Raw genomic sequence first — 14,455 nt, 5'->3', positions numbered from 1 at the left:
TAGCTTTTCAAATCTTTCTGCCCTCCCTCCCACCCCTCCCCATAGTCCCCAGTGTTTGTTGTTGCTATCTTTTATGTCCAGTTTCAATAATATATTTAAATCACTTTGTATATCCAAAAACTTATTTTAAGAAGCTATCAATTATAAAATTATTAGTGAGATATTTTATATTTAAAAAATAGTATTACACATCTTTGAAATCTGGTGTGTGTATGTATATATATATTTACATATATATATATTTTTTTTTTTTTTTTTTTTTTTTGCGAAGGATTCTCGCTCTGTCACCCAGGCTGGAGTGCAGTGGCCCGATGTCGGCTCACTGCAACCTCAGCCTCCCAGGTTCAAGCAATTCTCCTGCCTCAGCCTCCCAAGTAGCTGGGATTTCAGGTGTGTGTCACCAAGCCAGGCTAATTTTTGTATTTTTAGTAGAGATGGGGTTTCACCATGTTGGTCAGGCTGGTCTCGAACTCCTGACCTTGTGATCCACCCACCTCAGCCACCCAAAGTACTGGGATTACAGACGCAAGCTACTGTGCCTGGCCAAATCTGATATGTATTTTACACTTACAACACTCTTAACTTGGACTGGGCAATTTCAAGCATTCAATAGCCAGTGTGGCTAATGGTAACCATATTGGACAGTGCAGGTTTAAACAGATACTTTATATATTTTTAGGTTTTCTGAATTGAGTATGTATCACATGAGGGTGTTCTGTCTTCAGGATTAAATGTTTAATTCCTCAGAGGAATTCTGTGTTAAATAAGCTCATCCCACAGTTTTTACAAAAAAAACTGTGTTTCAGTCGTGTTGTTGTTAGTCAGAAGAGAGCTACAGATATTTAATTATTTAAAATTCTCTCCTTTTCAAGAGGCAAACAAAAAAGCAGACCTTCATATTATGATGAATTCCCAAGAATCCAGTAGACATCCAGGTTTCTCTGGGTGCAACATGACATAATGATGAAGGAGTGTTTCTGCAAATTGTCCTAATATTACTTCTGCAGCATCAAAGAGCTAAGATTATCTCCCTAGCATTTACATGCACACACAGACAGTCAAACACACACACAAACACTAGTTTTGTGTGTAACACTTCTCTTGTTTCTTATTCAGTGAAACCTAGCATTCAGTGCTTCCTATTTTTGTTCTAGAAATTCCATCAGCCAACCGAAAAGACAAGTCTGCCATATAACCTGCTGTTTTCTGCCAGTTCTACAAGGGATCAATGTTATTTCATGAGTGTTGGCAAAGGCTCATATATGAGTAAATCAGAATGAGAAAGAGTTAACAGTCACTAGAAATTTGGTGTCAGGAAATGGATTTTCTTCTCATCTTCTTATGTAGTTCAAAGAACACAGCCCTAATCATGATAAATAATAATAAATACCAGGGTTCAAGAACATAGAGGAGCAAACTTTAAAAAAAATTTTTTTTTACTTTATTATTATTATTATTATTATTTGAGAGAGAGTTTCACTCTTGTTGCCCAGGCTGGAGAGCAATGGCATGATCTCACTCACTGCAACCTCCACCTCCTAGGTTCAAGCAATTCTCCTGCCTCAGCCTCCCGAGAAGCTGGGATTACAGGAATGCACCACCACACCCAGCTAATTTTTGTATTTTTAGTAGAGACAGGGTTTCACCATGTTGGCCAGCCTGGTCTCGAACTTGCAACCTCAGGTGATCCACCCGCCTTGGCCTCCCAAAGTGCTGGGATTACAGGCGTGAGCCACCACACCCGGCTTTTTTTTCTTTTAAACAAATATCGTGAATAGGTTTGTAATTCCCAAATCTAAAAGGACCCTTTTTAGTCTTTATCCACCCTCTATGCAATATGTCTACTACTACTAATGCTCACAAACCCCAGGCTGGAGAGTCAATTGCCTGAGTTCTCCATGTAACATCCTCACAGTGTGCCCCACAGATACACCGAATTTAGCATGAGCCAAGCTAACTTATCTTCTCCATCTTCCAATCTTTCTCCCATTCCTTAAAGAGTTGTTAAAAACTCCCCTTTTCTACACCTCCTTCTGTTTGGCAATAGCCTGTTTGTTTTTCTAAACCACTTTCCCCCGTACCTCTTAAATCCTGTTTCTACTTATTTTTTATCTCACCCTCATAATTCAACTCTTCTCGTCATCCCTAGAGGTGTTGTTTCACTCACACCTTATAAATTTTTCTTTTCTTTTCTTTTTGATTTTGATACAGGGTCTCACTCCATCACCCAAGCTGGAGTGCAGTGGCGTGATCATAGCTCCCTGCAGCCTCCAGCTCCCAAGGTCAAGTGATCCTCCTGCTTCAGCCTCTGGAATAGCTGTGAGTACAGGCGCAGGACAACACACCAGCTAAAGACCCTTAAGATGAAATGCTGAGTGCATCGCTCTCAGGTTTTCTTCTGACTGTGATTTTCCTCAATCAAATCTAACCTTTAATATTCCGGCTGAGTAAACAACAAATATGAAGCATTTTAGGTAAGAAAAAGCTGAATTTCAATAACTTTGCGTCATCTCTGAAAGAAATCGAAAGAATGAAAAACCAGAATTTGATTCCTTGCCAAGCATAACAGAAGAAGGAGATCCTGACAACTCAACGTTTTAAAGCCACATTGGAAACTTCTTTTGGCGGTTATCTGACACTTTTCTAATACTTTGCTTTCCATTTCAAGTCCTGTACAGTATACTAAAGAATCTGTATCCCCTCATTAGTACCGAGTATCTTCTACTCAGAGCAGCTGAAGGCGCTCCATGATACTAACCACTACTACCAGCATGCTCACGGAGCCAGTCTCAGAAAATGAAAGTTACCTCCTGAAAATTATTACAAAACAGTCTTTCAGGAGGGGGGTGTAGCTCAGTGGTAGAGCACATGCTTTGCATGTGTGAGGCCCCGGGTTCGATCCCCGGCACCTCCAAATGGTGGTTTTGCTCTGGCAGTGCTTAAATGTAATTCTCAAGCAACATAGCCTTCTGCCTCCTCACCTTTTTCTATCCTATTTCTGCACGTATAGAGAGTAAAAACGTAACCCAATGGATTGCCTTCACTTATCTCCCATCTCTATAATGTAAGCCTCAACATCACCTAAGGCGATTGCGACGGCAGAAGGAAGAGGAGAAAGAAGAATGAGGTCGCAACAGGGTCTCTTGAAAGCAAACAAAAGCGTGCACATCAACAGGCGGCTCACTTTGGCTTCGGTTTTGTACTATGATTAAAGAGAAGGAAAGGCTGAGAAGAAGAAAGGCAGAAAAGCCCCCCCCCGCCCCCCGGGCATTTCGTTTTGGTCGTTGTTTTTGTTTTCTGAGCCAAATCCAGAGTCAAAGCATCTGTCCACTGATTTCTCTCCCTGTCGAACTGCGCAGAGAGCACAGCCACAAGTGCGATCCAAAGCTGAGAAAATGTGGCTCTCCAGCCGCTTGAGATGAGAGTGGCAGGACGCTGGACAACCGAACGAAGACTGTCGGGGAATTAGAGGTCTTCAACACGGAAGGAGCGAAATCAATAAGGATCAACACATTCCCTACTGATAGTCCATACGATTGATTCATTTTCCTGTATTGCATCAGTCACTCCATTCTCCTCGTTAAAATAAAACACTGAGGTCCGGGCGCGGTGGCTCACGTCTGTAATCCCAGCACTTTGGAAGGCCGAGGCGGGGCGATCACCTGAGGTCGGGAGTTCGAGACCAGCCTGACTAACATGGAGAAACTCCGTCTCTATTAAAAATACAAAATTAGCCGGGCGTGGTGACGCACGCCTGTAATCCCAGCTACTCAAAAGGCTGAGTCAGGAGAATCGTTTGAACCCGGGAGGCGGAGGTTGCAGTTTGCTGAGATCCCACCATTGCACTCCAACCTGGGCAGCAAGAGAGAACCTCCGTCTCAAAATAAAATAAAATATAACATAACATAAAACATTGCCTGGAAACCTCTGTTAACAGCAAACAGAGGCCCCATATGAAAAAGTAGAGAAAGCTTTTCTGCCACAATGGAAAATAGATGCAAAGTAAAGGTGAGTAAATTGCAGGTGTGTTGGCACTTCTAATTAAAAAAAAAAAATTCTTTTTTCTTTGTCAATCCTATCACATCTGCTTTGTATGACGAGGGAACTCCAGGAAATCCTATCTACTGATGACACCTTTTAGGGGTTTCCAATGCTGCATGTTTCAAAACTGCTGTCCTCTGTGTATATGTTTGCCGTTGAATCAAAAGTGTCTTTGAGAGGCAACAGAGTACGATGTTTGTCATCAGTCCACCAGTCTAACACTCTGTCAGGGTAGGCTGTCCTTACTTCTCGATTCTTTTGTTCAGTGAAAATATCCATAACCAGCCTACAGGAGAGATATTGTCTAGTGAAACCTGCTTAGCTGAAGACTGGTTGTGTGCCCCAGGGACAAACCATATGTTCGTTATAAGATACATTTTTTTTTTTTGTTTGAAGGAAGGTAATGCAGACATTTTCTTTTCGTTTCATACTTGTTTTCCCTTCTATCCACTGGTTCTCTCCAGGCACTTTAAGCAAATAGTGGCATGTTAGTCACAGTGGACACTGCACAGGAGAATAAGGGGTGAGGGATCAGGGTGCTACAAGAGGAATGCCAAATTCCAGGCCCAACCTCAGATCTATTGAGTCAGAATTGCTGAGGGTGGCGTCCAGCCGCCTGTGTTTGAATAAGCCCTCAAGTGACTCTGATGTTAAAGTTGTTTTGTTTTGTTTTTTGAGACGGAGTCTCGCCCTCTCGCCCAGGCTGGAATGCAGTGGTGCAACCTCGGCTCACTGCAATCTCTGCCTCCCGGGTTCAAGCGATTCTTCTGCCCCAACCTCCCAAGTAGCTGGGATTACAGGCGCGCGCCGCTATGCCCAGCTAATTTTTGTATTTTTAGTCGAGACGGGGTTTCACTATGTTGGTCAGGCTTGTCTCGAACTCTTGACCCCGTGATCCGCCCGCCTCGGCCTCCCAAAGTGCTGGGATTACTGGAGTGAGCCACCCGCCCAGCCGCTGATGCTAAAGTTTGAGAAGCACTGTTCTAGAGGTTTAAGAAGGTGGTCCAGGGCCAGGCGCCTGCTGAGGAGGAAGAGCTGTTCCCGGGGTTCCCTGCCTATTCTCAATCAAAAACTCAAACCACCTAGGAAAGCCAGTGAGGTTTGTATTTGCCTTACATCAGGGGTGGGGATGCATTTATTATCTCTTTGACACCGTCAACATTTTAGATGATTTTGGTAGTCACACACAAGAGACTGATTTTCCTGTAGAAGAACTCACCAGAGTTCTTGTCAGCCAGGAGACTCTTTTGAGCCAATTTTCTTTATTTCTTTCCTTTCTTATCATTCTACCCTCCCTTCTCTTTCTTTCTCTTTTTCCTTTCTTTCTTTTCTTTCTTTCTTTCTTTCTTTCTTTCTTTCTTTCTTTCTTTCTTTCTTTCTTTTTCTTTCTTTCTTTCTCTCTTTCTCCTTTTCTTTCCTTTTCTCTCATTTCTTTCTTTTCTTTTCTTTTCTTTTTTTTTTGAGACAGGGTCTCACTCTATCACCCAGGCTGGAGCGCAGTGGCGTGATCTTGGCTCACTGCAGCCTCTGCCTCCTGGGTTCAGGTGATTCTCCTGACTCAGCCTCCCAAGTAGCTGGGATTTCAGGTGCGCGTCACCATGCCCAGCTAATTTTTAGTAGAGGTGGGGTTTCACCATGTTGACCAGGCTGGTCTTGAATTCCTGACCTCAGGTGATCTGCCCTCCTTGGCCTCCCAAAGTGCTGGGATTACAGGCATGAGCCACTGCACCTGGCCACCAATTCTGTCATTTCTTTGTCACATAAAAAGTAAAAACATGACCCAATTCATTGCCTTTACTGCTCTCTTATTTCTATTTCTATTTGGTCAGCCTCTGTACCAGCCAAAGCAACTGACATAGCAGGAGAGGAAAGGAGGAAAAAAGAACCAGCTTTTACAAGATCTCTGGATCATGTTTCACTGTCAACTGTAAAATTATTTGTCTAGCCCTAGATTGGAAATATTATCTTCCATATATTTTCCTCAAAGTTTTATAGTTTTACATTTTATATTCATATCTGCGATCCATTTTAAGTTCACTTTTGTGAAGGCATGAGACTTATTTTTCTTCCATGGAATTACTACTTAGGCAACTTTGTCAAAAACCAGTTGAGAATATTTGTGTAGGTTTATTTTTCCATTCTCTCTATTAACCACGTGCCTATCTCCTTGCCAATACTATACAGTCTTAATTACTGTAGTAATAATACAATAATACAAGAATACAACAATGTAATGAAATAGTCTTGAAATCAGGTAGACTGTTTTTCCCTCCTAGATTTTAAATAATTATTCTAATTCCTTTGACTTTGTGGGAGAAACCTGGTGGGAGGTAGTTGGATCATGGGGGTGGCTTCCCCCATGCTGTTCTGGTGATAGTGAGTGAGTTCTCATGAGATCTGATGGTTTCATAAGTGTTTGGCAAGTTCCTCTTTTGCTCATACTTCTTTCTTCTGCTGTCATGTAAAGAAGGTCCTTGCTTCCCATTTCCCTTCCGCCATGATTGTAAGTTTCCCGAAGCCTCCTCAGCTATGTGACTCAATTAAACCTATTTCCTTTATCAATTACCCAGACACAGTGGCTCACGCCGGGAATCCCAGCACTTTGGGAGGCAGAGGCGGGCGGATCATGAGTTCAGGAGTTCCAGACCAGCCTGACCAATACGGTGAAACCCTGTCTCTACTAAAAATACAAAAATTAGCCGGGCATGGTGGCCTGCGCCTGTAGTCCCAGCCACTCGGGAGACTGAGGCAGAAGAATTGCTTGAACCCAGGAGGCGGAGGTTGAAATGAGCCGAGAGGAGGCCACTGCCCTCCAGCCTGGGCGACAGAGCAAGACTCCATCTTAAAAAAAAAAAAAAATTACCCAGTCTCAGGTAGTGTCTTCATAGCAGTGTGAAAACGGACTAATACACATTCTGTCTTTTACCGTGATGTACAGTGTTAGCTGTTCTCTATTCCTATTTTTCTGAGACTTTTTGTCATGAGTAGCTATTGAAGTTTGACAAATTCTTTTTCTACTGTGATATGATCACGTGATTTTATTTTTTAGCCTGTTAATATGGTGGATTGCAGTGATTGTTTCTAAATTTACCTAGTCTTACGTCTCTGGAATAAACCCCACTTGATCATGGTGTATAATGCTTCTTATATATTCCTGAATTCTATTTGATAATATTTTGGTAAGTATTTATGCACCAATACTCATTATTTTGTACTGTATTTACCTGGTTTTAGCATCAGGATACTATTAACTTCATAAATAAATGGAAAGTTTTTTGTCCTCTTCTGTTTTTTTCAGAATAGATTGTGTAGACCTTGTTTTAATTCTTTAACCATTTTTTTTTTTTTTTGAGACGGAGTCGCGCTCTGTCGCCCAGGTTGGAGTGTCACTGCAAGCTCCGCCTCCCGGGTTCACGCCATTCTCCAGCGAGTAGTTGGGACTACAGGCTCCCTGCCACCACGCCCAGCTAATTTTTTGTTTTTTCAGTAGAGACGGGGTTTCACCGTGTTAGCCAGGATGGTCTCGGTCTTCTGACCTCATGATTCGCCCACCTCGGCCTCCCAAAGTGCTGGGATTACAGGCATGAGCCACCGCCCCTGGCCTCCTTAAGAACTTCTTAGAATTCTTCAGTGAAATTTTCTTGGATTCGAAGATTCCTGATTTTTTTTTTTTAAACGAAGTCTTGCTCTTGGCCTCCAGGCTGGAGTGCAATGGTGCGATCTTGGCTCACTGCAACCTCTGCCTCCCAGGTTCAAACGATTCTCCTGCCTCAGCCTCCCAAGTAGCTGGGATTACAGGTGCCTGCCACCACATCCGGCTAATTTTTGTATCTTTAGTAGAGACGGGGTTTCAGCATGTTAGCCAGGCTGGTCTCGAACTTCTGACCTCAGGTGATCAGCCCGCCTTGGCCTCCCAAAGTGCTGGGATTACAGCCATGAGCCACCACGCCCGGCCAGATTCTTGATTTTTTTTTTAAATTATGTTACAAATTTAATTCCCTTAATAGTTACAGGGTTATAAAAAATGTATTACATATTGAGTTAGTTGTGTTAATTTGTGTTTTTCAAGGAATTAGTCTATCTCATCTAAATTGTCAAGTTTGTGTGTAAAGAGTTATTCATAGTAAGGCAGAAATTTAAAAATAAATATGCATTCATTCACTCCAAGAAAAGTAACAGGAAAGGGTTAAAAAGAAAAGAAACAAGTTTTCGTTTGCCTAGCAGCTCACTTCAAGGACAGTTACAAGATAACACTTTCCGAAAAGCCAAGGCCAAAGGAACGGCTTCCAGACACGCCCTTCTCCCACCCCACCCAAGAACAAGGTTGAAGGGAAAAAAAGGAAAGGCAAATTCCTATACTGTTACTCCTTTCCCTGGCTTCTTAAGCATAACTGTTTTTACAAATGTCTGTATTTAGTCAGTTCTTGTTTTTCTTTTGACGCAGCTGCAAGGCCACAAATTAAGCACTGTATGATTAACTGCCTTTGTTTTGCTTATAAAAACTCCTGCTCTGTCTTTGTTCAACGCTCAGCATTTTTTGTTTGTTTGTTTTGTTTTGAGACAGAGTCTTGCTCTGTCGGCCAGGCTGGAGTGCAGTGGCACGATATTGGCTCAATGTCACCTCCGCCTCCTGGGCTCAAGCAATTCTGCCTCAGCCTCCCGAGTAGCTGGGATTACAAGCATGTGCAACCACGCCTGGCTAATTTTTGTATTTTTAGTAGAGACGGGGTTTCACCACGTTGGCCAGGCTGGTCTCGAACTCCTGACCTCAGGTAATCTGCCAGCCTTGGCCTCTCAAAGTGCTGGGATTATGGGCGTGAGCCACCAGGCCCGGCCAGTGCTCAACTTTTTGGATGTGAATCCACTCAGTGGCTGCTTACCTTAAAATAAATATCCTCCTGTTCTCCTGTATCAGTCTTTCCGTTCCTCAGTTTACCACCACAATAGTATTCCCTTATCCTAATATTATTTTTATATATTAGGATATATCATACTACATATGTTATATAAAATATTATATTGATAATATGTTATGTTAATATTATATAATAAATAACATAATTATAAAATATATTTATTTATATGATTATTTAACAAGTTATATATTATTATTTACTTATATTATTAGGATATAATATATCCTTATATATTATTAGTATATACTATGTATATTATATATATATATATTCTGAATAATCTTGAGGATGCTTTTCCTCCTTCATTTTTTAACTCTAGCCTGCCTCTTCCCTTTCCCCACCTGCTGGTTCTCGGCTCCTCTCCACCTTCTTTCTCATTTATTTCTAAATGAAGTTTTCACAAAAGCGCAGGGCACTCCTAGTCTCGTTTATGCACATTTTAAGCACTATGTTGAGATTCCTATGCAGCTGCTATTTTAATTTCCACATCACTTTCCTTTTTTTTTTTCCTTCTCTACATGCTTGACTTTAAACATTTCTGCAGCATAGGCTGAGGCTGGGCCCAGCTGGGGAGAGATGCGAGGCCAGATAAACCTAGAGTAGAGAAATGTTGTTTCCTGAGTGGGAACGCTCCGACCTTACAAGGGGGAGAAAAAGTCTGCGACGGAGTTTCGCTCTTGTTGCCCAGGCTGGAGTGAAATGGTGCTATCTCGGCCCATTGCACCCTCCACCTCCCGGTTCAAGCGATTCTCCTACCTGTCTCCCGAGTAGCTGGGATTACAGGCACCCGCCACCATGCATGGCTAGTTATTTTTTAAATGCTGGGATTACAGGTGTGAGCCACCGAGCCCGGCTAAATTTTTTAAAGGAAATCATCCAAAAACATATCCTTTTGATGTCAGCAGAGTCTACAGTGATATCCTCTTTTTATTCCTGATATTGGTAATTTGTGTCATCTCTCTTCCTAAAATTTCTGTCTTACTAGAGGTCTTCTTTTATTGATCTAAAGGAACTAGCTTTTTGTTTGTTTTTCTTTTTTTGTTTGTGTTCCGTTTCACTGAATTTTGTTCTTATTTTTATTGTTATCTTTTGTCTATTTGCTTTGGGTTTATTTTGCTTTTTTCCCCACCTGGGTTCTTCAAATAAAAGTTTAGATGACTGACTTGAGACTTTTTTCTTTTTCTAATGTATGCAGTTAGTGGTATACATTTCTCTCTCAGTGTTTTTTTAGGTTGTCTTGAAAATTTTGGTATATTGTGCTTTCATTTTTATTCAGGTTAATTTATTTTTTGATATCTACTAAGTCTTTCTCTTTGTCCTGTGTACTATTTAGTAGTGTGTTGTTCATTTTCCAAGTGTTTGGATGTTCTTCTGTTGTCTTTCTGTGATTGACTTTTAGTTTGATTTCATTGTGGTCAGGGATCATACTGTGTGAGTTAATTCTTTTAAATTTGAGGTTTGTTTTATGGCCCAGAATATGTTCCATCTTGACCTGTGTTCTGTGTGTTCTGCTTTTCTTGTGTGGAGTCTTCTTTAAATGTTGACTGAATTCTGTTAGCTGAAGATGATTTTGAGTTCTTCAACATCCTTGCTGATTTTCTGTTTAGTTGTTCTATCGATTATTATGAGAGAAGTGTTGAAGTCTCTAATGTAATTGTGGATTTGTCTATTTTTTAAAAATTCTTTTTTTCTTTACATATTTTCAACTCTGTTTGGTTTATACATATTTAGGATTGTTATGCCTTCTTGGTGGATTTTTAAAATTTTTCTTTGTTCTAAAGCTTATATTAGGCCAGACGTGGTAGCTCACGCCTGTAATCCCAGCACCGTGGGATGCTGAGGTGGGTAGATCACCTGAGGTCAGGAGTTTGAGACCAGCCTGACCAACATAGTGAAACCCCATCTCTACTAAAAATACAAAAATTAGCCAGTCATGGTGGTACGTGCCTGTAATTCCAGCTGCTTGGGAGGCTGAGGCAAGAGAATCACTGGAACCCTGGAGGCAGAGGTTGCAGTGAGCAGAGATCGCGCCATTGCACTCCAGTCTGAGTGACAAGAGTGAAACTCCATCTCAAAGAAAAAAGATAAATAAATAAAGTTCATATTATATTAATATACTCACTTTTGCTTTCTTTTAATTAACATTTGAATGTTATATATTTTTATATGCTTAATTTCAACCTGTATGTATAATTATATTTGAAATAAGTTTCTTGTAGACAGCATGTAGTTGGATTATATTTTCTAATCTACTCTGTTAATCTCTGTCTTTTAATTGGTACCTTTCGACCATTTACATTTAATGTAATTATTGATATGTTAGGGCTGAAATCTAGCAGTTTGTTTTCTATTTGTACCCTGTTACTGCCATTTTCTGGGGATATGTATGTATGTATGTATTTATTTATTAAAGCCTTCTTTGTGGACTACTAGTATACTTTTTTAGAATTTCATTGTCATTTATCTGTAGCGTTTTTGTGTGTGTGTGGTTTTGTTTTTTTGATTTTTTTTTTCTCCTGCCTCAGCCTCCCAAGTAGCTGGGATTACAGGCATGCGCCACCATGCCCAGCTAATTTTTGTAGTTTTAGTAGAGACAGGGTTTCACCATGTTGGCCAGGCTGGTCTCGAATTCCTGACCACAGGTGATCCCCCTCAGCCTCCCAAAGTGCTGGCATTACAGGTGTGAGCCACTGTGCCCAGCCTATCTGTAGTGTTTTTAAATGATCTCTTTATATAACTCTTTTAGTGATTTGTCTGAGTATTACATATTTATTTAATTTATCACTGTGTACTGGTATCATTATTTTATCAGTTAAAGTGATGTGTGTCATCTTTACCTTTTTGTCACTTTGCCTCTCCTACTTGTAATATAATTGTCTTAAATTATTTCTTCTACATACATTTCGAACCACATCGAACCATGTTATACTTTTTTCTTTCTTTCTTTTTTTTTTTTTTTTTTTTGAGACATTGTCTCACTCTGTTGCCCAGGCCTGAGTGTAGTGGCGTGATCTTGGCTCGCTGCAACCTCCGTTTCCCTGGTTCAAGTGATTCTCCCTCCTCAGCCTCTCGAGTAGCTGGGACTACAGGTGTGTGCCACCATGCCCAGCTAATTTTTTGTATTTTTAGTAGAGACGGGGTTTCACCATGTTAGTCAGGCTGGTCTTGATCTCCTCATCTCATGATCTGCCCACCTTGGCCTCCCAAAGTGGTAGGATTACATGCCTGAGCCACCGTGCCCGGTCATGTTACACTTTTTGCTTCAACTGTTAAACATAATTTAGAAAGCTCAAGAGGAAAAGGAAAATGTATTGTTTTTACCTTTTTTTTTTTTGCTTACCATGTTCTTTCTTCTTTCCTGGTGTCAATTATTTCTTCTTTTATCATTTCTTTCCATCTGGAGAAATTTAACTATTTTTTAAAGGATAATTCTGCTAGAAGCTAATTATCTTAGTTTTCTTTGCTCTGAAAATGTCTTGATTTCTTCTTCAGTTCTAAAGGATATTTTCTGTGGATATAGAATTCAGAATTAACAATTCTTTTCTTTCGGTCCTTGAAAACTGTTGTGCCACTCTTTCTGACTTCTGTGATTTCTGATAAGATACCCACTGTTATGCAAATTGGTTTTCTCTGTAGGTAAGGTGTTTTGTCTCTTTTCTTGCTTTCAATATCTCTTTCTCTGTTTTTAGAGTTTAGAAATTTTGATTGATTTTGTTTTCAGTTAACCGTTGAAGGAGATTCTCTAAAAAATATGTAAAAATGCAAATCTCCAGGTCAACAGTCTCTAAAATAGTTTAGATTTCTGTATTCTGGTGTTTGGAAAACAACTTCACTAAGGCAATCCCTTAGGGCTGGTAATTTCATGATGTAAATCATTCCACATTTGTAAAGCATAAAGTAGCAAAGTTTTAGTCACTGTACAAACAAGTATCTGAACTTCTTCCTGTGCTTAATTGGTATAAACTATCTTGGGCGGCAGTTCCCCACCTTTTTGGCACCAGAGACCGTTTCATGAAAGACAGTTTTTTCCATGGATGAGGGAGCAGGGGTTGGGGGGGATGATTTTGGGATGATTCAAGCACATTAGATTTATTGTGCACTTTTTTAATATTGTTATTATATTGTAATATATAATGAAATAAGTATCCAACTCACCATAATGTAGAATCACTGGAAGCCTTGAGTTTGTTTTCCTGCAACTAGACAGTCCCATCTGGCACTGATGGAAAACAGTGACGGATTATCAAGCATTAGATTCTCATAAGGAGCCCACAATCTAGATCCCTTTCATACGCAGTTCACAATAGGGTTTGGACTTCTGTGAGAATCTGACGCCCCCGCTTATCTGGGAGGAAGAGTAGCTCAGGCGGTCGCAGGAGCGTTGGGGAGTTGCTGTATAAGGACAGATGAAACTTCTCTGGCTCGCCTGCCGCGCTGCCTGATACGCGGTTACGTTTACTGGAGGTTGGGGACTCCGGAGCTAGAGTAAAACACACAAATATTTCGCCTGAACAGGGACTTGAACCCTGCACCGTCAGATTAAAAGTCTGATGTTCTACCAACTGAGCTATCCAGGCCCTGGGTAGACGCAACCCACGGAGTATGTAATCTAGATTTCTCCATTTGTTCAGTTCATTTTGTTTCATGTTGCAATTTGTAAATCATATTACTTGAATTATCCTCTTTTCGAAGACCCTGCTTAAGAGAGACATTATAATCCCTAGGAATATTTTCCTTTTCTCTTTTTAAACATTTCCTTTCTGTAGATTTTCGTAACCTGAGATGGAGCGTCTTCTACACAAAGCACTGCGGAGTTGCTAGATACAGAGGGTTTCATTCTCGCCAATTACCTGCAACCTAAACTTCTCGAGGCAACTGTGGAGCTACTTTTGTTCGTATCCCTCAGTATTGTCTTGCATCTCTTTCTTGAAGCCTTTGTAGGCAGAGGGTAAGAGAGACGAAGGAGGAAGAATTTGAAGATGCAAGAGAACATTCCATAATGGACCCCTTTCTGTTGGTGGATGAAACTGCCAGCCAGGCATCACTTTGGCAAGTGGACCTCAGACCGGCGGTCTGGCTGGCCAGAGAGGAAAACCGCGTGTAACAGTGTCTTTTGGTTTAGTATTTAGTGCCGCTTTTGCTGGTCACAGTCTAAAGGTTTTAGAAATAGTGATGTTAAACACAGCAAGCATTTTTCTGCCAGATATTCGTTCTCCAAACACAGACAGACAAAGGCAGTAATTAATAATGGATCTTTTCTTTGTTTTTTTCTTGTTTTATTTTTGAAGATATTTTTTCTTCGTCTATGGATCTTTTTTTTAATTTTTAATTTTTACTGCTGCATAGTATATATATGTATATATATGATACATGGGATATTTTGATGCAGGCATACAATGTGTAATAATCATATTGGGATAAACGAAGCATCCATCACCTCATCCATCGCCTCAACACCTTATCATTTCTTTGTTACAGACATTCCAGTTATAATCTTT

The 14,455-nt window shown here is 40.6% G+C and overlaps 2 non-coding genes across 2 annotated transcripts, besides 1 other annotated feature; one reads left to right on the top strand and one right to left on the bottom strand.

Annotated features, from left to right (window-relative positions):
* Positions 2,731-3,930: an enhancer, noted in NCBI's record as "CDK7 strongly-dependent group 2 enhancer chr6:28725125-28726324 (GRCh37/hg19 assembly coordinates)". NCBI's record gives its function as "activates an origin of replication core promoter dependent on BRD2, BRD4, P300/CBP, MED14 and CDK7 cofactors, with strong dependence on CDK7, by STARR-seq in HCT116 cells {active_cell/tissue: HCT116}" and the evidence as "EXISTENCE:reporter gene assay evidence [ECO:0000049][PMID:35650434]".
* TRA-TGC6-1 (tRNA-Ala (anticodon TGC) 6-1) lies at positions 2,843-2,914 on the top strand. The gene has a single exon. It is a non-coding gene; the product is annotated as a tRNA-Ala (tRNA).
* On the bottom strand, positions 13,462-13,534 carry TRK-TTT7-1 (tRNA-Lys (anticodon TTT) 7-1). The gene has a single exon. It is a non-coding gene; the product is annotated as a tRNA-Lys (tRNA).
* Positions 13,535-14,455: the final 921 nt, after the last annotated feature.

Source organism: Homo sapiens, chromosome 6 (genome assembly GCF_000001405.40).
Source record: "Homo sapiens chromosome 6, GRCh38.p14 Primary Assembly".
NCBI lineage: Eukaryota > Metazoa > Chordata > Mammalia > Primates > Hominidae > Homo > Homo sapiens.
This window is presented reverse-complemented; position numbering and strand designations above follow the sequence as displayed.